Source organism: Homo sapiens, chromosome 6 (genome assembly GCF_000001405.40).
Source record: "Homo sapiens chromosome 6, GRCh38.p14 Primary Assembly".
NCBI lineage: Eukaryota > Metazoa > Chordata > Mammalia > Primates > Hominidae > Homo > Homo sapiens.
This window is the reverse complement of record NC_000006.12, coordinates 146,617,730-146,644,637: the sequence shown is the minus strand read 5'-3', so window position 1 is coordinate 146,644,637 and position 26,908 is coordinate 146,617,730. Positions and strand designations below refer to the sequence as shown.

General features: G+C 34.5%; 1 protein-coding gene and 1 pseudogene across 1 annotated transcript in view; both read right to left on the bottom strand.

The window, feature by feature from the left end:
- ADGB (androglobin) overlaps nt 1-26,908 on the bottom strand; it is a 216,491-nt gene that overhangs the window by 170,825 nt on the left and 18,758 nt on the right. Inside the window, exon 2 of the mRNA NM_024694.4 lies at nt 9,101-9,263. Coding sequence (NP_078970.3) covers nt 9,101-9,263 — 163 coding nt within the window. The remainder of the gene's footprint in view (nt 1-9,100; nt 9,264-26,908) is intronic.
- On the bottom strand, nt 4,815-4,938 carry LOC124901517 (uncharacterized; annotated as a pseudogene).

The following is a 26,908-nucleotide window of genomic DNA, read 5'->3' as shown; positions in this document are numbered from 1 at the left end:
AGAGCTAATTCATGGAGTATTTAAAGAATACTGAATTTAACAATACTGTATATAATTAACATATACTCATGGATTACATGTAATATGCTCATTGATTGTTGAGTAGCATTTTGATTGTATAGGAGGTAGCCTAAACAAGCATGAGATGCTGTGGAAACTATATTAGATACGGCAGGAAAGCAATTTACGATGGGCCAGATATGGCCACATTCTCCATTGAAAAAATTTTTTTTACCTGAATGGAGAAGATTTAAAAATATTTATTTAATTTTCAACTGTAAGAATCATAAACAAGATTATATATAAATAAAACTTGGATGTTTGACCTGATTTTCATTTATTTATTTTAAAATTAATTTCTTTCCTTTAAGATAATTATAGATTCATATACAACTGTATGAAATAATACAATGGGTTCTTATATGCCATTTACCGAATTTCTCCAATTGTAACATCTTGTGAAACTGTAATACAGTATGACAACCAGGATATTGGCATTGACAGTCAAGATATAGAACAGTTTTATTACCACAAGTACCATTCCTATGCTTTTTCATAGCCATACCTATGCTCCCACTCCCCATCCCATACTCCATCCCTAATACTTGGCAACAACTTCTCTGATCTCTATTTCTATAATTTTGTCATTTTATACTGAATGTCTATATAACATTCAGTAATGTTACATAGATGAAATCCCACCATTTGTGGTATAATTGTAAGGAAGTATGAAATCTTTTGGATTGGCTTTTCTTCTGTCAGTATAATTCTCTGGAGATTCATCCAAGTTGTTTCAGGTATCAATAGTTTGTTCTTGTTTATTGCTGTGTAGTATTTCATGTAAAGACGTTTGTTCACCAACTGTTTATTGAAGAACATGTGGGCTGTTTCCAGGATTGGGCTATTACCAATAAAGCTGCTGTGAACATCTGCATAACATAAGTTTCCATTTATCTGGGATAAATGCCCAAGAATGCAATTAATTCACTAATTTTTGAATTCTTATTATGGGTCAGTTAGTGAGCTCTGGAGAAAGAATAATATCCAAATGCGTACTCTCAGATGCTAGCAATCTAGTAAGTTAAAAATGCTTTGGGCAAGTACTATGTAAGAGTTCTAAGAATTTATAGGATACTGGGAAATAAAGGTCCTTACAAAAAATAATATTAAAATTGACAGGTTATAAACGAAATGCCTGAGGAATATAAACTATCTATACAGGAAAAAGAGCGACTAAGTTTCACCTGAGTTAATAAGGACAGGAAGAAATAAATACTGTTTTGTGATTTTCACAGTAATCACGTTTTTACCCTAAGGCCGGTGTGGCCTGAGAAACAGGTTATATTTGAGGGCATTGTGTACAGTTTGAACATTATAAGTATATATGTTTATCTGGAAGATGTAGTTTATTGTCACCTTTAAGATACTGGAATAATTTGAATGAAGACAAAATGTACGTCAATATCCAGGCAAGAGTCTCAAAAAGCGAGTCATCGAAAAATTGACTGAATTTCCAGGAGCTGTTGCTACACTTCTGGGGTTTCCCCACATCATTTTCCCCTCCTTTATTGCAAATATTTAGTTGTTGTAAAGTCCTTTATCTAACAATGCCAAAATCTAAGATGTTCATGGATCAGTTTCTATTATTTGATTTCTCCTCTTCGTTTTCAGTCGCTTGATTCTGTTTCTTTTCATGTCTGTTAATTTTTTTAAAAGAACCCTTTTATTTTATAATTGGGGGTACATAAGAAGATTTGTTACACAGGTAAACTCATGTCACAGGGGTTTGTAGTACAGATTATTTCATCACCCAGGTATTAAGCCCAGAACCCAATAGTTATCTTTTCTGCTCCTCTCTTTCTTCCCAGCCTCCCTAATCAAGTAGATCCCAGTGTCTGTTGTCTCCTTCTTTGTGTTCATAAGTTCTTATGATTTAGCTCCCACTTAGAAGTGAGAATGTGTGGTATTTGGTTTTTTGTTCCTGCATTAGTTTGCTAAAGATAATAGCCTCCAGCTCCATCCATGTTCCCGCAAAAGACACGATCTTGTTCTTTTTTATGGTTTCATAGTATATACGTACCACATGGTGTATATGTATCCATAGTGTATATGTACCACATTTTCTTTATTCATTCTGTCATTGATGGGTATTCAGGTTGCTTCCATGTTTTTGCTATTGTGAATAGTGCTGTAATGAACACTCGCATGCATGTGTCTCTATGGTAGAATGACTTATGTTGCTCTGGGTATATAGCCAGTAATAGGATTGCTGGGTCAAATGGTGGTTCTAGTTATACCTCTTTGAGGAATTGACATAGTGCTTTCCACAATGGTTGAACTAATTTACACTCCCACCAACAGTGTATAAGCATTCCTTTTTCTCTGCAACCTCACCAGCATCTGTTCTTTTTTGGCTTTTTAATAATACCCATTCTGATAGGTGTGAAATGGTATTTCTAATAATAAGTAATATTGAGCTTTTTTTCATATGCTTGTTGGCTGCATATATGACTTCTTTTGAGAAGTTCATGTCTGTTTATGTCATTTGCCCACTTTTAAATGTGGTTGTTTGTTTTTCTCTTGTAAATGTGTTTAAGTTCCTTATAAATACTGGATATTAGACCTTGGTCAGATGTACAGTTTGCAAATATTTTCTCCCATTCTGTAGTTTGTCTGTTTACTCTGTTGATAGTTTCTTTTGCTGTGCAGAAGCTCTTAAGTTTAATTAGATCCACTTGTCAATTTTTGCTTTTGTTGCAATTGCTTTTGGTGGCTTCGTCATGAAATCTTTGCCCATTTCTATGTCCAGGATGGTATTGCCTAGGTTGTTTTTCAGGGTTTTTATAGTTTTGGGTGTTACATTTAAGTCTTTATTCCATCTTGAGTTGATTTTTGTGTATGGTGTAAGAACAGGGTCTAGCTTCAATCTTCTGCATATGGCTAGTCAGCTATCTCAGCACCATTTATTGAATGGGGAGTCTTTTCCCCATTGCTTGTTTTTGTCAGCTTTGTCAAAGATCAGATGGCCGTAGATGTGTGGTCTTACTTATGGGCTCTCTACTCTGCCTCATTCGTCTATGTGCCTGTTTTCATATCAGTACCATGCTGCTTTGGTTACTATAGCCTTGTACAATAGTACAGTTTGAAGTCAGGTCGCGTGATTCCTCCAGCTTTTTTTTTTTTCCCGTGGGATTGCCTTGGCTATTCAGGTTCTTTTTTGGTTCCACATGAAGTTTAAAATAGTTTTTTCTAGTTCTGTGAAGAATGTCATTGGTAGTTTGATAAGAATAGCATTGAATCTGTACATTGCTTTGGGCAGTATAGCCTTTTCAATGATAGTGATTCTTCCTATCTATGAGCATGGAATGTTTTCCCATTTGTTTCTGTTTGAGCAGTTTTGTAGTTCTGCTTGTATAGATGATGTTTCACTTCCCTGGTTGGCTGAATTCCTAGGTATTTTCTTCCTTTTGTGGCAATTGTGAATGGATTGCCTTTCTGATTTGGCTCTCATTTTGGCTATTGTTGGCGTATAGGAATACTAGTGGTTTTTATACATTGAATTTGTATCCTGCAAGTTTGCTGAAGTTGTTTATCAGCTGCAGGAGCTTTTGGGACAAGACTGTGGGGTTTTCTAGATATAGAATTATGTCGTCTTCAAACAGAGATGTTTGATTTCTTCTCTTCCTATTTGGATGTGCTTTATTTCTTTGTCTAGCCTGATTGCTCTGGCTAGGACTTCCAATACTATGTTAAATAGAAGTGGTGAGAGAGGGCATCCTTGTCTTATGGTGGTTTTCAAAGGGGAATGCTTCTGGCTTTTGCCCATTCAGTATAACGTTGGCTATGAGTTTATCATAGATGGTTCTTATTATTTTGAGGTATGATCCTTCAATACCTAGTTTATTAAGAGGTTTTTACATGAAGGGGTGTCAAATTTTATCAAAAGCCTCTTCTGCATTTATATAGATATTCATGTGGTTTTTGTCTTTAGTTTTGTTTATGTGATGAATCACATTTATTGATTTGCATATGTTGAGCCAACCTTGCATCCTGGGGATGAAGCCAACTTGATCATGTTGGATTAGCTTTTTGATGTGCTGCTGGATTCAATTTGCAAGTATCTTGTTGAGGAATTTTGCATCGATGTTCATCAAGAATATTGGGATGAAGTTTTCATTTTTTGCTGTGTCTCTGCCAGGTTTTGTTATCAAGATGTTGGTGGCTTCATAGAATCACTTGGGGAGGAGTCCCTCCTTCTCAACTTTTTAGAAGAGTTTCAGTAGAAATGGTACCAGCTCGTCTTTCTACATCTGGTAGAATTCAGCTGTTAATCCATCAGGTCCCGAGCTTTTGTTTGGTTGGTAGGCCCTTTATTACTGATTCCATTTCAGAGCTTGTTATTGGTCTGTTCAGGAAAACAGTTTCTTCCTGGCTCAGTCTTAGGAGGGTGTATGTGTCCAGGAATTTATCCATCTCTTCTAGGTTTTGTAGTTTGTGTGCATAGAGGAGTTTGTAGTAGTTTCTGATAGCTGCTTTTATTTCTGTGGGGTCAATAGTAACATTCCCTTCATCATTTCTAATAGTGTTTATTTGGATATTCTTTCTTTTCTTTGTTATTAGCCTAGCTAGTGGCCTATTTTATTAATTTTTTCAAAAAACAACTCCTGGATTTGTTGATCTTTGAAATTGTTTTTCATGTGTCAATTTCCTTCAGTTCAGCTCTAATTTTCATTATTTCTCGTCTTCTGCTAGCATTGGGATTAATTTGTTCTAGCTTCTCTAATTATTTCAATTGCGAAGTTAGATTTTTAATTAAAATTACGGACCTCTTCACGAATTTGTGTGCCATGCTTGTGCAGGAGGCATGCTTGTGCAGGGGCCATGCTAATCTTTTCTGTATCATTCCAATTTTAGTATATGCACTGCTGAAGTGAGCACTGTATACTGATTTTGCATCCTGAAACTTTGCTGCAGTTGTTTACCATCTGAAAAAGCTTTTGGTCTGAGACTATGGGGTTTTCTAGATATAGAATCATGTCATCTGCAAACAGGGATAGTTTGACTTCCTTTCTTCCTATTTGGGTGCCCTTTATTCCTTTTTCTTACCTGATTTCTCTGGCTGACTTCCAATACTGTGTTGAATAGGAGTGGTGAGAGAAAGCATCTTTGTAATGTGCCAGTTTTCAAGAGGAATGCTTCCAGGTCTTGCCATTCAGTATAATGTTCGCTGTGGGTTTTTCATAGATGGCTCTTTTTATTTTGAGGTATGTTCCTTCATACCTAGTTTGTGGAGAGTTTTTAACCATTTCCCATTTGCACCCAAGAATACTCACCAGCAGTGCTTGCAGTTGCAGTGTTTATCCCAAGATAAAACATGCTTGGTATAAGAAATTCTTTCGCCACCTCTAAATATCAAAGCACTGAATTCCTACATCCTGTTCAAGAAGGACAATCCTGAGCACATGATTAGCCATGTAAACCTCAGATTCCCGTTGATTAAAAAAATGCTGGAAAAGCATCACAAGCCAGGGCAGCAACATCTTCAAGGTCACCCATGTTCTGGTGATGCCACACCTCTTCATCTGTCTGGAAGACATTTTGCCCAAAAGCCTATTACCAATATCAGGGAAATGAAATGAAATCCAAGTAGTCACTGCAAAGTTTGAGGCTTGCACAACAGCAAGGATGGCAAGACGATCTGGAGAGAAATGCATTTTTTTTTTTTTTTTTGCAGAAGGTGATGCTCCACTTTGTGTTGTGCTGTGCTTTGAAACTTATCACATGATGAAAATTATTAAACACTGATCATCACATACATTTCTGTTACATTAAGATTATAGACAAGTTCTGTTTAGAAATAACTCTAAGAACAGTTTTTTTTTTATTATACTTTAAGTTTTAGGGTACATGTGCACAATGTGCAGGTTAGTTACATATGTATACATGTGCCTTGTTGGTGTGCTGCACCCAGTAACTCATCATTTAACATTAGGTATATCTCCAAATGCTATCCCTCCCCCCCCCCCCCACCCCACAACAGGCCCCAGTGTGTGATGTTCCCTTTCCTGTGTCCATGTGTTCTCATTGTTCATTTCCCACCTATGAGTGAGAACATGTGGTGTTTGGTTTTTTGTCCTTGCGATAGTTTGCTGAGAATGATGGTTTCCAGCTTCATCCATGTCCCTACAAAGGACATGAACTCATCATTTTTTATGGCTGCATAGTATTCCATGGGGTATATGTGCCACATTTTCTTAATCCAGTCTATCATTGTTGGACATTTGGGTTGGTTCCAAGTCTTTGCTATAAGAACAGCTTTTTATGTTTTATTTTCACATTGAAAATCAGTCAGATTTGCATCAGCTTCAAAGAGTATGTTTATGTAAAATTAAATGAATGCTGGAAGCGAGCTGCACTTTTTTGTAATGGGAAAAGGGTTAACATCAAGGGGTATTGAATTTTATCAAAAGTCCTTTCTGCATCTATTGAGATAATCATGTGGTTTTTGTCTTTAGTTGTGTTTATGTGATGAATCACATTTATTGATTTGTGTCTGTTGAACCAAACTTGCATCCTGCGAGTGAAGCCTACTTGATCATGGTGGATTAGCTTTTTGATGTGCTGCTGGATTTGGTTGGCAAGTATTTTGTTGAGGATTTTTGCATTGATGTTCATCGATGATAGTGGCCTGAAGATTTTTTTGTTGTTGTGACTCTGTCATGCTTTGCTATCAGGATGATGATGTTCTCATGGAATGAGTTGGGGAGGAGTGTCTCCTTCTCAATTTTTTGGAATAGTTTCAGTAAGAATGGTAGCAGCTTGTCTTTGTACATCTGGTAGGATTCACATGCTTAATAATTTTTAATGAATGATATACACTGAGTATAAAAATTATATGGGCTCTAGATAATGATGTCTTATTCCAGAAAGGAGAATTTATTTCCTTTTGGCAGGCAGAGTACAAGATGTACCTGACTCAGTCAACACTGGGTTTCAGGATTTGGTAGGGCTGGTGTAACTTTGGTTTGCCCTTACTTTATACAGAATGCTATAGCTGGTCTGGTGCACTGTCTAAAAAAGCTGGAGTGTTTATTGGGGTCCCTTTACCTTGATGTTCCTAAATTTCTCTCCAAAGTACCATTAAATCGTTTTTTATTTTGCCTTCAAGCTGCTGCTGTTTATTCATTTGCTCCGTAGCTTATCCTTCATACATAGTTTAGGAGTTGAGTAAATATCTTAAAATAAAATTATATGCAAAATTTTCAGATTGCTTCTCTGCCATTAGCCCTGGGGTTTTGGTTCAAGTTTTGACTGCTTTAGCAGCCCTAGGCAATATCCTCTGTCTCTCCAGCTCAAGAAACTGACACAGGTCCCAGGACACTACTTTGTGCTTGATCCCTAATCTTCATGCCTTGAATTAATAAATGTACTTGAGAGAGGAAAAAATAAATAAACAAAGAACAAGGTGAATGTGGAACTGACCTTGTTGTGGTTCCCTTTTCCCCAGGATTTGGGCCTCCCTCATTAAGAAGTTAAGGGTAATCTTTCCACATTATTTTTCTTATCAGTGTCCCTTATAATAACCTTACAGTACTGCATAATATATTCACAATTTGATTCACCCGTCACATCCTTTAGTTCTCATCACTTAGCTAAAGAAGTGAGACCTTTCTCTGGACTTAGAGGAAAGGGTGAATTCATCTGAGGCTGATTTCCTGATGACTAGCCTCATGTCTAGGGAAGCGGCCTTCTGCAAAACTCCCAGGATACTTGTTATATTTGGATGCTTAAGGAAATTAATCTTAATAAAAGATGGATGCTGCAAATCAGCGCTAAGAGCTACCATGCAACCATTTCATGCAGATGCGATCACAAGGCTTGGACACTGTCCACCACTCACTCCAGTGAAGGAGCTGCTACTTCAAGAGTTATGGATGAGATTGTGACAGACTGGAAGTGGAAAGTAAGGTTCTATCCTAGATTTTACCACACCCACACACACCCACACCCACCCACACCCACACACTCACACTCTCTCTCTTTCTCTCTCTCCATAAGTTTTGAATCACTGAAAAAAATACATAGAATATGCCAATTTTCATTTGAACCCAGAGAATTCAAAGCCCTCTGCATCTAGAAGTTCCATAATCATTTTAGATGTGGTACAAAGAATTTGTTCCCTTACATGTTGCTAATTTGGAACTTGTTTAGGTGCTAACAGAGTCAGCAATACCTTTATTGCGTACCTTTTGTTAACAAATTGACCAATATGAATCATGCAATTTGTGATACAATCTTTTGTGAACAAAACGTACATGCTAAGATTTACTATTTCAGAATGCTTTATGTAAAGTTCAACTAAACCCTTCTGGCACTTATGTTTATGTCTTGAAAATTATATTGTTTTCTATAAATATTTTTAAATGAATTGTTGCACCCAATAAATAGGTCATATTTTAAATGAAAGTCAGACCCATAGCCTCAACTTTGAAGTCTTTAGAAATAAACATTTTTAAATAGGCAAAATAACATAAAGTAATATAATTGGAAAATGCAGAAATTCTACATTTTGGCACCAATCTCAGGGACATGCCATGTTTATGTGACAAAAAGTAAACGAAGAGCAGTGAGGATCTTTATTCACATATCTTGAGGAGATAGTAGGAGGAATCCAGTTTTCATCTCACAGTTAACATTTCTTTTAAAAAATTATCTTTCCTATTATCTCCCGGTCACAGCTTCCAAGTCCACTGTGGATTTTCATTTTCTTAACCACTCTTTATAAATGCCTGTTTCCAAACTCTGTCCAATGTCGACTGGCTAACCTGCCCTATCTCTTAATTTTTCCTTTATATCATTATGATTCTTTGGTCATATCTCTTTCTTCCAATTTACCCAAATATGATTCACCAAAGCTCAGGACTAAGGCTTGGAAAGACAAAGTGGGAGTGTTGGGAGGTGGGGCTGATAGAAAAATAAAAAATTTCCCTTTTGAATGCACATTATGGAGAAGAATGAATACCTTTTTATGTTTACAAATCTCATTCCATTATAAAATTAAAAACCAAAATGAAACCTAGTCACATTTACATCTACTTACAAATACAGGGCTTTTTCCTGTTTTGTCCTTTTCTTTTGCACCTTTGCCTGCATCCCACTTTTCTGAATTTATGTCAGCTTCACTCCACTCTGGCCAGAGTGGGAATTTCCCCTTCTTTTGTTCAGTAGAACCAGATTGTACATTACTGCCAAAAGGATAGAAACTAGACAGAGACAGAGAGTGGGTGGGTTAGGTTTAATTAAAATCTCTGAGATCAAATATTGGATTAACTGCATAACATAAATTTGTCTTCTCAGCTGAGTCATACTAACTACATTTTTAATACAATCATACTTGTGGCTAGGCAACTTCTACATGTTAAGTTTCTAAAGACTAAAATAACCCCAAAGAGTTTATTTCATAAGCTAAAGTGGAGCCTTAGTCCCTACTTACTGATGCAAGAATTTTAAAAAAAGATATACCGTATTATCAAATATCATGAACACAAGCAACATATAGTTGATAAATAGCTGTATTCTCAGACTGATATATAGAATCCCATCTATATATCTATCAGTCTACATATATTTTTTTGAAAATTAAGTCATTTTGCATATACTTTGTATAAATTGCTTTTTACCACTTCATCAGCATATTGTTAATATTTCTCATGCTCTAAATATTTATCTAAATACTAATTTAAGGATTGTATAAGATCGTCTTGTATAAATATACCTTATTTCATTTAACTAAGCTTCTATATTTGGAAATTTGGGGGGGTGGTCGATTTTTAAAATTTTTTAATTTTTCACTTTCATAAACAAGACTATGGTGGTTGTTCTTATTGCAAAATCTTTGTGTACATTCACATTATTTTGTTACGATAGATTTTAATGAGGAGCCTTCCTATACCAAAGTGTATGCATATTTAAGGTTTGTGATAGATTTTGACTATTTTTCTACTGAAAAGTTGGGCTTGTTTCCTACTTTAAATATATGTGTATTACAATTCCCATATTGCTAAACCTTGAATGCTACTTTTTGTTCATTTTCATGATTTTTAAAGTGTAAAATAGGTATATTATTTAATGTTCAAGTTTTTAACGCCTTGTGAGGCTAAAACCCTGCCTATAGACAGTGGGTGGGACAAGCAGTTAAAAAAAACAGACTAAAATCTCTATACAGCTCATATCCTAGTGGGTTCTGGATACAAATTAAATATCATAAATTAAGTAAAATATACAGTATACAGTAACACACTGCTTATCAACAAGGATACATTCTAAGATATCCGTTGCTAGGCAAGTTTGTTGTCCCTCAAACAACAGAGTGTGCTTACACAAACCTAGTAAGCACACTACACAAATGGTATAGCCTGCAACACAGCTAGGCTAGATGGTACAGTCTATTGCTCCTAGGCTATAAACCTGTACAGCTGTTACTGTCCTGAATATTGCAGGCAACTGTAACACAATGGTAAGCACCTGTGTATCCAAACACATCTAAACATAGAAAAATACAGTAAAAACACGGTATAAAAGTTAAAACAGAATGGTACACCTGTATAGCACACTTACCATGAGTGGAGCTTGCAGGAAGTTGCTTTTAATGAGTCAGTGATTTGAGAGTGACTGTGAAGGCCTGGGAGATTACTGTACACTACTGAAGACCTTATAAATATTGTACACTTAGGCTACATTAAATTTGTAAAAAACAATTTCTTTCTTCAATAATAAATTAGCCTTAGTTTACTAGATGACCACTCTCATATATGAGGCTCATCAGTGGCCAAAGTGTTGTTATGAGGTGTGTGATTGTATTCAAACATGAAACTCCTAAAGGGAAATATAACACAGTACAGGGGAACTGATGAGTTAAGGTACTCAATTTTTAAAACAATGGTTAAGGAAAATATCTATAGTAAGGCAATATTTAAATAATAAAAGAAAGTGAGGGATCAAGCTATGTGACTATCCATCAAAGAATGCTCCAGATACAGGAAGGAAGAGTATTCCAGATGCAGAGGACATCCTGACTTAGTTTAAGAATAATACAGAGGTCAGTGTGCCTTAAGCTGTGTGAGTGGGAGGAAAAGCAATGGAAGTTGATTGCAGAGAGGTACTAGATGCAAAGATTGTCAAGGTGATCTAAGGCAGGGGGAGGGTCTTTACTCTGAGTGAGATAAGAAGCCAAAGGAGGGTTCTGAGCAGGGGTCCAAAATGATATTATTAGAATTTGATGATAATTCTTGCTGCTATGTTGAAAAAGACCAAAGGAAGAAGGGAGACAATGTAAAATGCTTTGAATTAAGAGGAGAGAACTAATGGGGGTTTGGACTGGCTTGGTGACTGAAGAGAAGGCAAGAAATAGATTCTGCATATACTTTAAGATAGAGAAAGCAGATAGAGTTGATATTTCCTTATCGACAGAAGACCGTGGTACGGAGAAAAATTGAGGCAGGGGGCATAAAGCAGCAGTGCGCTGATAAATAAGATTGTGCTTTAGATGCCAAAAATACAGCCTTGAGGATACTGAGTAGGTAATTAGACATCAGATTCTGAAGTTTGGGAGAAAAAATTGGACAACAAGTGAAACTTTGAGAGTCATCAGCATCTAGGTGGTATTTAAAGTCTTAAGACTGGATGAAATCATCAAGAAAATAACTACTTAAGGAAGGGGCACACCCAGGGATGCTAACAGCTGGTATAGATTGAGCAAGAACAATTCTAAATGGACCCTGACCACAATGCTGGGTCAGTGTCTTCAAAGCCTCCAACTAAGCCAGACATTTATTCCGTATTTTATGTAGCAGGAACAAATATTTAAAGTCCTCAGGGAAAGTCAGGGACCTAGGGCAAAAGGCAGAAATGTCTGGAACTCAAGAGTTATTGGTAATTGTTAAGACTACCTACTGAGAAATATAAAAATATTTCAATCTCTAGTAATCAACAGAGCTGTATTTCTGCCCTGGTACTCTATATGTAAGGGTCAGAGAGATAAGGAGGAAATAACTGTGAACACTGAGAAAAGAAAGCAGTCACTGAATGTGGTAGACAGAATAACCACCAACCCCTACTTCAAATACATACACATCTTAGTCCCTGGAAACTGTGGATCTGTTACCCTCCATTGAAAAAGGGAGCTTGTAGATGTGATTAAGTATCTTGAGATGGGGAGATTATCCTGGATTATCTGGGGATCTCAGAGTAACTCCAAGAGTGCTCAAAAGTGGAAGAAGGAGTCGGAGGAGGTTAGAGGGAAAAGTGGCTGCTGAAGAAAGCAAAAAGGGAAAATTGCTGGGTTTGGAAGATAGACAAAAGTGGCCACAAGCCGAGGAATGTGGTCAAGTTCCAGAAGCTGGAAAGGCAAGGAAGTGGATTTTCTCCTAGAGCCTACAGAAAGGAAGGCAGCCCTGCTGAAACCTTGTTGGTAGCTCAGTGAGACCCATTTTGGACTTGTGACCTCGAGAATTCCAAATGAATTTGTCAATGAATGTATGTGATTTGAAGCCATTAAGTTTGTGATATTTTATTCTAGCAGCCATAAGAAACTAATACACTGAGGTAGGAAAAACACACTGGAAGGCGATACCTTGGAAACCAAGTGAAGGTTTTTTTTGTTTTTTTTTTTTTTTAATGAGGAGATGAGCAGGAGACCTAAATGCAGCTAGCAGATCAAGAATGATAAAGTGAAAACAACTAAATGTTGAATTTAGAAACAAGGAAACATCTCTCAAATATCACCTCCTGGAGGTGAGGGCTGGAGGACTTTCATGAACACCCTATTATAGCAAGGTGCTTCTCTGCATCATTTCATATTGCTTCATTTTTATACTACTCAGTACTCTCACTAATCCTTTATTTATGTGCTGACTGTGTGCCTCCACAGGTAGGATTTTGTAAACTCCACTGTGGTAGGAACATTGGATTTTTTGTTCATTTCCTCCATCTCCAGTAACTGGGATGGTACCTGGACAAAGTAATAAATCTATCTCTATCATCTATTTATATGAAATGAAACAATGAATGCCTGTAATTTACATTTCTGATATACCTAATTGAAACTCTGTCAAATTTTTATATGTAGGTAGAGATTGAGCAGAAGCCTACCGATCCTGTTTCCATTTCTTTTGCAGTTTGGCTAGCACTATGTTATGTTGTATTCCAGCTTCGGGTTCATAAACATTCTGTGAGATACTTCTCTCTCTCTTCCTGCTCAATGTCTGTCTGAGTCCTATAAGGACACCTTACAAAATGGTTATACCACAAAATGAAAGGAGTCAGGAACTCTTATTCAGCACATGCAAAGCCAGCACTACACACCTGGTCACACTCTGGTATGAAAGAAATATTCTTTGTAGTGTTAAGTCACTGAGATTTGGTTTTTCGATACTGTAGCATTGTCTCAAATAAAGAGTGCAATTATACTGTTAGGATTTGGATTTCCTCTTTCGTATCTTTAATCATTATAAGCACTTGTATGCTATATTACAGATTATTCTTCTATTATCTTAAATTTTCAACTTTCGATTCTCTTGCTTGTTGTGACTTTTGCCAATATTTTGTATATTCTTTAATTATGAGCTTATCCTTATCAGGGTTTTCTTCTCCTCCTATCCTTTTCCTCCAGGGTAATCCTGTGTTGAGAAGATGTTCTTTCAATATAACATTGAGTTTTCTTCTGTCAGAAACCCCAAATGAATAAGCCATCCAGGAACCCATAGATAATGTAAAAGCAAGTCACAAACCTACTCAAGTCTCAGTGAAAAGTTAGCTTTCTTATAATCTTTCTGTGCTTAGGTGGATTTTCTCATTCATCTCTTTAAAGACAATTAAACTCTTGGAAAGCCGTATTTTCACCTAAGATTGGAATACTTCCTTTCCTCATTTGGGCACAAGACCATGTACTGTATATATTGAAACAAAAGATTCCAATTTTTTAAGACTGATAGGACTTCCCTCAGAGCCATAGCACTCTGATCATCAATTTTTCTCTTCACTTCTGGATCCTGAAGATCCTTATTCTTTTTTTGTTTGTTTGTTTGTTTGTTTTTTAAGAAGCAGGGTCTCACTATGTTGCCCAGGCTGGCCTCTAAGTCCTGAGCACAAATGATGCTCCTACCTCAACCTCCCAAGTAGCAGGGAGTGCCAACATGTCTGGCTTTTATTCTTTATATACATATTTATAAGTATTTGTATTCTCTTCTTTTTTTATGGCCTTACTATTTTGTCAGGCTGGCCTCTAACTCCTGGGCACAAATGATCCTTCCACCTTGGCCTTCCAAGTATTTAGGACTACAAGCATGTGTGATCCTGCCCAGCTTGCTTTCTTTCTTTTATTTTTATTTTTATTTTTATTTTTTGACGGAGTTTCACTCTTGTCACCCAGGCTGGAGTGCAATGGTGCGATCTCAGCTCACTGCAACCTCCGCCTCCCGGGTTCAAGCGATTCTCCTCCTTCAGCCTCCTGAGCATCTGGGACTACAGGCACCTGCCACCATGCCCAGCTAATTTTTGTATTTTTAGTACAGGTGGAGTTTCATCATGTTGGCCAGGCTGGCCTCAAATTCCTGACCTCAGATAATCCACCTGCCTCAGCCTCCCAAAGTGCTGGGATTATAGGCACGAGCCACAGTGCCTAGCCAGCTTTTTTCTTTATACACACATTTATAGGTATTGTTATTCTTTTAAAATATTAATCTACTATCATCCTAGAAAAGAAAGTCTGAAAATTTATACATTGTTAAAGAGGATTCCTAAGTAGCATGTAAGAATGTATTATAAAGGAGTAAGGATGACTAGAATAGTTTTCAGGGAAAAATGAAGCTTTTTTCATAGTATTAATTGAAAAATCAAGGCATAAATTAGCATATTACAATATCTCTGTTGTATAGAGTATTGACACAAGCCTACAGATAAAAATAAATTGGTGATTTTGTCCATCAAAACCAGCATAAAATTACTTCATTCAGGAAGCTAAAAATCTGAAAATCTATTTATTTAAAGGAAGATATCATTTCTTAAATATAAGGGCTTTACTAAGATTATGTTTTGCTTCTTCACTGTCAAGTGTAAGTAAATCTTCCAGCTCCCTCCTTGAAGCTATTAAGCTTTATCTCTAATTGGCCTACTTTCCTTGTAACGCATCAAATATGTGTCCATCTATATTGAAGATTACTTAAAAAGACTCTCATTAGAGGTGTCTCCTACTAGCCCAATAGATCACCTACAGTGTTATACACACAATATAAACAAAGCTGAAATGCAGCTCTAGGTGAAGTATACTGTGGACTTCAAATGACCACGTAAACTCCTGCTTTTGAAACTCTCAGCACCGTTGCCTTTGAAGTCCACTGGCAGAATATACCCACTGCTCTAGTATAGTTGGGATCTTTTAAGTATTCAAAGTGCATTATTCCGGTCTCATTAATTCTGAGAATAAGATGATTTTTCAATATTTAAATATTTCAATATTTAAACTCACTGTATGTGGAAGGGCCTTTAACCCTATACTTTTATAATATATTACTTTTGAATGTTTTAATACAATTTGCAATTTTAATGAATTAAATAATTTACTAGTATCTGGGCATATTGCTATGTAAACAAATTAACTTTGTGAGTAACTCTGATTTTCCTGTTATTTCAGGTTTGAATTTTCTTAAATTTGGTAACATTTATTTCCCCGTATTGCCAGTTCCTAAATCTTTCTGAATTTTTTAGGAAGGCAAACAGGTAGACAGATAATTTCAATATGAAATGATGTGTGCAGAGATGGATGCTTTCCCAGGTGATAAAGAGGGGGACATTGTGCCCAGTGTGAGGCAATTCAGAGAAACTTCTTACGGAAAATAGCATCTGACATGCCTCGAAGGATAACTACAAATTTTCCAAGTTAAAAAAGGAAGAAAGGGCATCACTAGGAGAAAAGAACAGCATACGAGACAGTTCAGAGGCAAGAAACAGCAGAATAGGTGCAGAGATCTATAAGCTGTTCAGTACTATGCAAGCTTATAGTATAATGCAGGGAAGAGGAAATAAGGTTAAAAAAAAACAAAAGGTAGGCAGGAAGTTCCTGACTGAGGGCCTTGCTGAGGAGTTTGAACTTTGTTTTCTAGTCAGTGTTGACTTTGCTCATTATATAGAGATAAACATTTTATTCTTAGATATATATTATTTAATATTTACTGGTGTTTCCAAATGTAAAGCTTGAGGAACACTGAAGTTGAAATACAACTTAAAAATGAGCATAATAATGATAATAATTTTAAAAATTGAAGGTAATTTTCATCAGATCTGAAAGTTGCACTCTTCTGAGGAAAATTCTTATATGGAGATGTTTCTAATAAAGAAAAAAATAATTTTTAAAAATATAATATACAATGTCAATTATATTCAATTTGAGATTCCATATTTAATAAAAAAATTCTATCCAAACCTGTGATATATTATTTGTGAATACATGCTTGTAAAAACGACTTTAAAATCTATCATCTTAATATTTAAAAACAAATATAAAATTTAAACAATAAGCCTGAGGAATATCACTTCCATCTTAGAGTCACAAGGACTGGATTTTTGTCACCTAAGACAACACAAAATCTGGACAAAATACATGAAATTGATTTTAAAGACATGGTCATGAAATGATGCGGGTCATTGGTCCCTGAAAGATGAGAAACAAATGATGTGAGCCCTTTAACGACCACAACATATGGCCCTGAGAGAGTTTTCAGATTGCAAGGTAACACAGGCAAATCCCAGCATATTTCTTGCATACAGAAGGAGATGAGTGTTTGGGGGACAGCAAGGTATACTTTCAAGGACAGGATCCTAAAAAAGAGAGAGTTTCACAGATAAAACTCCTGAGATCTTAATAGAGTCACCTACGAATATTTAGCAAAGTATTTGTTAGCACATGTGCATGAGGAAGCTACCCAAAGCCGGGGAAAAAAAGTACCTGAGAGAATCTGAGGACTCACGCTGAACCAGAACTAGTATTACTGTGCCCAGCCCCATAGGATACTGGGAAAAGTATCTTGCTTCACCTAGAGAGGCAGAAGTATCTTGCCTCACTCAGAGAATGATTGGCCCTACATTAAACATGGCTCTGGTTCCACGTAACAAATCTTAAAACCAAGATATGAAAGAATCAGACTGTTTCTAAGCAACTAAACGTACCCTAGCACAAAACTCAAGAATATTTATAGGGCTACAAAAATATCCAGCATCCAGTAAGGTAAAATCATAATGTCTGTCATAAAATAAAAAATTACCAGGCATAAAAAAATAAGAACATATGACTAATGGAGAGAAACAACAACAACAGAAACAATTGATTGACTTAAACACATAACTGACACAGGTGTTAGAATTAACTAACAATCATACTAATATAGTTATTATATTCGGTTGGTGCAAAAAGTATTTGTTGTGGCAAAAACAGCAATTACTTTTGCACCAAACTAATATCTGAATTCCATATTTTCAAAATGTTAAGTAGAGACAAGGAAGATAAAAAAAGATTCAAATACCTTAAATAAAAACTAAAATGAGAGGAAAGAAAACACACAACAAGAGTATTAATGGTGGATTAGACATTGTAGGTGATTAATGAATTTTAGAAGATAAAAAATAATTCAAAATAAAAAAATTGGAAATAAGCAGAGCATCAGTACATTCTGACATAACTTAAAGTAGTCAAATATAAATGTAATTGTTGTCACCAAGAAGGGATTAAAGACAGAAAATACTACTTGAAGAAATAATGGTCATTAAAAATTTATGAAAACTATAAACCTACAGAGTTAAGAATTTCAATAAAACTCAAACTCGAGAAAGACTGAAAAAAACCATGCCAAGTTACAATACAAGGAAGTAACTTAAAAACAGTGGTAAAAAAATTTTAAAAGCAGTTAAAGGAAAAAATAAACATTATATGCAGAGGAAAAAAGAAAAGAACAGCAAAGTTCTCATTAAAACACAATGTAAATGAAAAGATAATGGGCAACATCTTTAAAGAACTGAAAGAAAAGAAGAAATATGTCATACTGAAAGTCTACACCTATTGAAAATGTCTATTAAAAGTAAAAGGGACATAAGTGCTTTTTGTCTGACATAAAAAAGCTAAAAGCATTCATCAGCAGAAAATAGTCAACACAATAAAAACATAAAAGGAGGCCTCAAGCAGAAGAAAAATGATAGCAGATGGAAATATGGATCTGCCAAACAAATAAAGATAATTTTACGTAGTAAATACATGGCAAAATACACAAGTTATTTTATTTAAAAGTATCTTTGTAATATAATTAACTGCTTACATAAACGGATGATGTAATACGAGGTTTATAATATATATAACATCAAATATATGATGATAATAGCATAGTGCTTGGAGTTGATAAGTATACTATTATAATGTTTTTTATATTCTATGTGAGTTGATATAACATCACAAGAGGGTAGAGTGTGATAAGTGATGTATTATAAACTGTACAGAAATACCCCAAATAACAAAACAAATAGATATAGCAAAAAGCCAATATAGGAGATAAGTAGAATTTTTAAAATATAATCTATCCAAAATATAGCAGAGGAATAAAACGATAAGAACACAAGAAAGAGAGACAAAAAGAAAATGAATAGCAAAATGATAAATTTAAACAGTTTTAGCAATATTAATAATCACATTAAATGTAATTTAACCCACTGTATGGAACAGAATGTCAAATTGATTAAAAAAAACAAGATCTAACTGTATTAGTCCATTCTTGCATTGCTAGCAACACACACTGAAGACTGGGTAATTTATAAAGAAAAGAGGTTTAACTGGTTAATGGTTCTGTAGGCTGTATAGGAAGCATGGTGCTGGCATCTGTTTGGCTTCTGGAAGCTTTAACTCATGGCAGAAGGCAAAGCAGTATCAGGCATGTCAGATGGCAAGAGAGGGAGTGAGAAAGAGGGGGAACCACACTTTTAAAAACAACCATATTGCATGTGAACTCAGAGCAAGAACTCACTTATTAACACAAGGAAGGCACCATGAAACTCACAAAAGACCCACTCCCATGACCCAAACACCTCACATTTCAACAGGATATTTGGAAAGGACAAATGTCCAAACCATACCACCAACTATGTGTTATCTCTAGGAAATCTACTTTATAAAGATGTCAATAATAAAAGAATGAAAAAATATATGCCATGTTAACACTGAACAAAACTAACATTATAAAAAGTAGATTTCAGAAAAAAAGAATATTACCAGTAATAAAAGAATGTGATTTCATAATAACAAAAAGGAAAATTCACTGGGTGCATATAACAATCCTAAACCTTCTTGAATTTAATAACAGAGCTTCTTAACACATGAAGCAACAACAGAAGTACAACAATCAACAGGCATATTTATAAACACAGTAGAGAATCACAATATGATTTTCTTAATAGTTGATAGAATAAGCCAATCAAAAATCAATAAGGCTATAGAAGATAAAGAATATAGAACAGTATCATCAAAATTGACCTAATTAACATTTATAAGACACTCTATCACAACAGAATACACATTCTTTTCAAGTGCACATAGCATATTTATCAAGATAAACCATAATTTAATACATAGAATGTCTCAATAAACTTTTAAATATTCAAGTCACACAAAGTACATTCTCTGACCAAAGAGATTTATACTAGAAATCACAAACAAAATGATCTGGAAAATTCTAAGATATTTGAAATATAAATAACACACTGTAATTAACCTATGTATTAAGAAAGATATAAAAAGTTAGAAAACATTTTGAATAAAATAAAAATGAAAACACAGCAAATTAAAATTTGTGGAATGCCACTACAGTAACATAGGGTGAAATTTATAGGACGAAATACCTAGTCAAGTATCAAAATAATACAGCAGTTTCCACCTTAAGTAAGAAAAAAAGAGCAAGTCCAAAGTAAATAAAAGTAAGTAAATAATAAGAATTAAAGCAGAAATCAATAGACTAGAAAACATAGAAACATTTTTTCTCTAAAAATAAATGTAACCAAAAATCCAGTTATTTGAGTATATAAATAATAGAGCAGATCAAAGACCACAATTTATAACAACCTTTCATCAGATTGATCAAGAATATAGGAGAGAAAACACAACTATCAATATCAGAAATCAAAGAGAAGACATCACTACAGATCCCACAGATATCAAAGGGATAAAAAAATTACAAGTCATTCTTTATCCAAATATTTGATAACTTATAAAGTTATCAATTCCATGAAATATGCAAACTAACAATATTCACTAAAGAAGAAATAAATTGGATTGGAGATATGAATATCTCTGTATCCATTAAATAAAATAAATTTGTTTCTTAAAAATCTTTCCACAAAGAAAACTCCAGACCCAGATGGCTTCACTGGTTAAGTATACTAAATATTTAAGGAAGAAACAGCACCAATTCTCCACTAACATATCCAGAAAATTGAAGAAGAGGGAATACTTCCTTATTCATTCCATGGGCCAGCATTACCCAAAAAACAAAACCAGACAAGACATCAAAATAAAAGAAAACTGGAACCCAATATCTCTCATGAACATAGATGCAAAAAATATCTAGACAGATCAAATAAAGCAGATCAAATACTACAATATGTGTATTAAAATACATCATGATCAATTAGAGTTTATCCCAGGAATAGTTAGTTCAATATATGATAATCAATCAATGTAATTCATCCTATTAACAAACTAAAAAAAATTATGATCATCTAAATATGTGGAGAAGAAACATTTGAAAAAATTCCAGCAGTCAATCCTGATCTCAAAAAACAAGGAATAGAAGGCAACTCCTTTAACCTGATAAATGACATCTACAGAAACCTGGAACTGACATCATACTTAGTGATGTAAGACTGAATGCTTTGCCCACCTAATTAGAAATAGGACAAGAATATACATTCTCATTTGCAGATGACATGATTGTAACTATGTAGAAAATCTATTGGCATGTATTAAAACTTTCATAAATGATAAGTGAGTTTAGCCATGTTTCAGGATACAAGGTAATATAGAAAAATAAATTGAACTTTTGTGCACTGACAAGAAGAATTCAAAATTAAAAATCAATAATAATATTTCCAATAATATAAAGATAAGAGATCCTTGGGAATAGATGTCATATTTGTTGCTCAAGACCAGTAGACTGAAACTATACAACTCTGGTGAGAGAAATTAAATAAATTACTTAAATTCAATAAATACTTAATAAATGAATAGATAGACCATATACATATGTTGAAAGATTCAATATAGTTAAGACATCAATTCACCCCAAATTGACCAACAGGTTTGAGATAATCTCAATCAAAATCCCAGCAGGCTTTTTTAATATAAAGAATTTGACAAGTTGATTCTAAATCTCATATGGACCCAAACGGAAAATAGAATAGGCAAAACAACTTTGTAACAGGAGAAACATATTCAAAGACTAACAGTTCAAGTCTCATATTAACACCACAAGGTAATGGCATCAAGATACATAAACAGATCAAAGGAACAGAAAATAGTAACAAAATAGGCCCATATTCATATGGACAGCTGATTTTCAACAAAGTAACAAAACAATTGAATAAAGAAATATTAATATTTTCAACAAATGGTGCTAAAACATTGAATATCCATATGCAAAATAAACATCAATTTACGCTTTGCATTATTTACAAAGATAAATTCAAATATACTGAAATGTAAAACTTACACTATAAAACTTCTAAAACAGGAGAGAATCTTTGTGACCTAAGATATGCCAAAGATATCTTGAATATAACATTAAAGACAAATTCCATTAAGTAAAAAATTTATTAAGATTTCATCAAAATTTAAAATTTCTGCTCTTCAAAGGACACTATTAATAGAATAAAAAGACTGCCACAAACTGAGAGAAAATATTCGAAAAGTATATACCTGGTAAAAGGTTTGTACCCCTTACAGCCCAATTAAAAATTGGCAAGCTATTTGATCAAATACTCTAACATAAGAGTACATGTGAGTTGTGTGGCATGTAGAGTATCTAAAATGGCCCCTCAAATACGATCTGGTCTAATCATCAAAGCTATGAATATGGCATTACATTGTTGGCTATGTGATGATATATGGGATAGTTGACCTTAAAATAACAAAGATTGTCTGTGTGGATCTGATCTTGTCATAAAAACGTAAATGAGCTTGAAAGTGGATTCTTTCCAGAATCTCCAGGTAAGAACCCAGCCCAGCTGATACACTGATATACAGCTTTGTAAAGCCCTAAAAAGAGAAACTAGCTGAGCCCACCAGAACGTCTTTGCTACAGAATTGTGAGAAAATAATGGCTCGTGTTTCATGTAACTAAGTTCCTGGTAATGTTTTACAGCCATAGAAAACTAATACTAATGGCAAATAAACACATGAATAGGTGATCAACATCAGTAGTCATTAGGGAAATTCAAAATAAACCAAAATTAGCTACTGTTGTATACCTATTACCAAGGCTAAAATTAAAAAGATAAACCATGTCAAGTGTTGAAAAGGATGTGGAGCAACTGGAACTTTCATATAGTGCTGGTGGCCATGTAAAATATAGAATTTTGCAAAATGGTCCAATAGTTTCTTAAAAGCTTAAACATATAATACCATATGATATAGCCATTCTACTCCTAGATAATTCAAGAAAACTGAAAGTGCATGTACATACATGAATATGAATAGCAGCTTTGTTTGTAATAGCTAAAAACTAGAAATAGCCCAAAATGCACAACAGTAGGTAAATGAAAAAAAATCATGGAATATCCATTCAATGGACAGTGAATATTAAAATAATTATGAGTGACAGCAAGATGACAGAATAGAAGATCCTAAGCATCATCACTTCCCCCACAGAAATTCAACTTGAAACTATTAAAAGACAAGAATATCTCCCTAAATTCACCAGAGCACAGAGGGAAAGTAGAGAAACCCATTAGGGCATCAGAGAAGTTGTGACTAGAATAGTCATTTTAGACTGTGCCAGCCCCTCTCCCAAGCTGGCATAACCACTCAAGAGGATTTCTCTAGACCTGTGGTTTCCATGGTGATTGGAGGAAATGAGAGGTGGACGGTCAATCTCCTCACCTTTTGGAATCTTCATGGGAAGCCCACCCTGACTCCTTTCCAGGGGAGCAATTGGGTGTACCAGGAAAGCTGAACTACCTGTGATGAACTGGGCACTAATCACAGTAACTGATGCATGGATTTTGGCAGCTACTTTGTGCTCCAGTCAGTGGGGGTGCCACATTAAAGAGACTGGCCAGTCTCTTTTATGTGCCACAGATGGCACAATCCATGGGAATGCCTAAATCCCTAGCTGGATTTTCCTGGCCTGGAAAAAAACTAAAAGATCAGAATTAATACCTAGTGCCAACTTAAGTCTTCCCAAGACCAGAAAACAATGGCAGGGATGCAATATAGTTATGGGTCTAAGTTTAAGTTTTGGTGCTCACTGTAAGTTTTTTCTACACGAGGAAACAGTAACAGGGCAACATGTTAGTTATAGTGCAGTGTTTTAGTCCTGGTGCTCAACATAAGTTCTTCCCAGGATGGAAAGCAACAGTAGAGCAGTGTTTAAGAGTCAATACTAAGTAGTAAAAGTCTAAAACCACCAAAGAATGTCAGCAAAAACTGGAAGTGGCTGTCTCATCAAATGCTCAGGAATCAACATAAGAGTTGCGAAAACTCAGGAAATATGACATCACCAAAAGAAACCAACAAATCTCCAGTAATTGACCCAGAAGATTTGAAGATCTATGAGATCTGGCAGAGTATTTAGAATAATTCTCTTAAAGAGGTTTAGAGAATCACAGAAATACCTGACAGAAAACTAAATAAAATTTGGAAAACAATCTAAAAACAAAATGAGAAATACGACAAAGAAATAGAAACAATTTTTCAAAAACCAAATAGAAGTCTTAGCAATACAGAATAAAATAACTGACCTGAAAAAAATCATTAGAAAGCTTCAACAACAGATATTCTCAAACAGAAGAAAGAATTAGCAAGCTTGAAGATGGAACATATAAAATTATCCAACCAGTGGAGCAAAAAGAAAAAAAAAGAATAAAAGTGAGTGAAGAAAACCTACAAGAATTATGGGACAAGAGAATCAAGTGAATTAATATCTGTGCAATAGGAATTTCTGAAGGAAACAAGAAAGAAAAATGCCTAGAAAGCATATCTAAAGAAATAATGGCTGAAAATTTCCCAAACCTGGAGAAAGATTACAACCTTCAGGTAAAGAGAGGACGCTCAGACATAACCAATCAAATTCAACCCGAAGAGGGATTCCCCAAGGCACATCATAATTAAGTTACCAAAAATTAAAGACAAAGAATCATCAAAGCAGCAAGAGAAAATAAAAATATCACATTCAATGGAGTCCCAATATAACTTTCAGGGGGCTTCTCAGCATAAATCCCGCAAGTCAGGAGAGACTGGAATGTGATATTCAAAGTGCTGAAGAAAAAATACTGCCAAACAGTAAGATTATACCCAGCAAAGCAATCTTTCAAACTCAAAGGAGAGATAAAGACTTTCCCAGACAAACAAAGGCTGAGGGAATTCACCAACACCAGACTTGTCTTACACGAAATACCAAAAGAGAGTTTTTCAATACAGAAGAAACTGGATGCTAACATATAACAAAAACATCTGCAGTTATTAAACTGACTGGTAAAATAAGAAAAAAGAAATCCAGAATATTCTAAAACTGTAACTGGGCTAAGTAAACCATTTATACTTTTAATAGGAAGTCTAAAAGACAAAAGTATTAAAAATAATTACAACAGTTAATTAGTAAATAGTAAATAGAAAAAGACATAAATTGAAATACCAAAAAGTCACAATGTTGGGATGGGGATGATGTTGAAGTTGAGAATTTTTGTTGTTGCTTTCACTGTGATCAAGATTAAGTCATTAGCAATTTAAAATAACGTGTTATAACTGTAAGATATTTTCTGTATGCCTCATGGTAACCATAAAGCAAAAACCTATAATAGATACACTAAAAATAAATAGCAGAGAATCAAAACATACTGCTAGTGAAACTTATTTAGCTATAAAGAAATACAGTAAGAGGGTGGGAAAAGGAAGAAAGGATCTATTTTAAAATCCCAAAAACAAGTATCAAAATGGCAGTAATAAACCGTTATCTATCAATAATAACCTTGAATGTAAATTGATTAAATTATCCTATTAAAAAATAGAGTGGCTGAATGTATTTTTAAAAAATGATCCAAATATTCTGTCTATGACAAACTCACTTTGCCCATAAGGACACATACATACTGAAAGTGTAGAGATGGAAAAACATATTCCCACAAATAAAAACCAAAAAAGAGCAGAAATAGCTATACTTATTCAGAAAAAACAAACTTTAAGTCAAGAATTGTAATATATCTATATCTATCTATCTATATATATATGGTTATTACATAATGATAAAGGGGTAAATACAGCAAGAGGATGTAGCAATTGTAAAAATATATGCACCTAATACTGGAGAACTCAGATATGTAAAGCAAATATTAATAGACATAGAGGGAGAAATGGACAGCAATACAAGAGTAATAGAGGATTTCAATCCAATAGAGGATTTCAGCATTGGACAGATGATCTAGACAGAAAATCAACAAAGAAACATTGGAGTTACACTGCACTCCAGATGAAAGAGCCCTAACAGACATTTACATAACATTTCATCCCTCTGCTGCAGAAAACACATTTTCTCAACAGCACATGAAACATTCTCCAGGACAGACCATATGTTAGGTCACAAAAGAAGTTTTATCAAATTTTAAAAAATCAAAATCATATCAAGTATCTTTTCTGACTATAATGGAATAAAACAAAATGAAAGCAAAAGGAATGCTGGAAACTGTAAAAATTCATGGTGATTAAACAACATGCACCTGATCAACAAATGTGTAACTGAAGAAATTAAAAAGGAAATTTAAAAATTTATTGAGACAAATAAACATGGAAACACAAGAACTGCAGGATATGACAAAAGCAGTTCTAAGGTGAAAGTTTACATGAATAAACACTTTCATCAAAAAAGTAGAAAGACCAAATAACTTAATAATGCACTTCAAGGAACTAGAAAGGCAAGAACAAACCAAACACAACATTAGTGGAAGAAAAGAAATAATAAATATCAGAGCTATTTCTGACGAATAAAAATATACAAAAAATCCACAAAATAAAAAGTTCATTTTTTGAAAAGATAAAACAAATAGAGAAACTTTTAGCTTGACTAAGAAAAAAAAAACCGTAAGACTCAAATAAATAAAATCTGAGACAACAAAGGAAACATTATAACTACAAAAATACAAAGGATAATTAGAGACTGTTATGAACAACTGTAAACCAACAAATTGGTGTTATGATGGAGACCTTTATGATAATCCAATTTCATTTAATAAACAGTAAATATATTTTTCTCTTCTTTATGATTTTCTAAATAACATTTTCCTATCTCTAGGTTACTTTATTATAAGAATGCAGTATATATAACATATACATATGACACACAAAATATGTGTTAATCAAGCTTTTATGTTATTGGTAAGGCTTTCACTCAGCAGTAAGCTACTAGTATTTAAGGTTTTGGGGATTCAAAAGTTATACACAAATTTCTACTGTGCAGGGGTTGGTGCTCTAAGCCCCATGTTGTTCAAAGAACAACTGTCCTGGCAAACCGAATTCAACAGCACATTTAAAAAATCATATACTGTGATAAAGTGGGATTCAGCCCAGGGATGCTTGGATGGTTCAACATATGCAAATCAATAAGAGACGCATAGC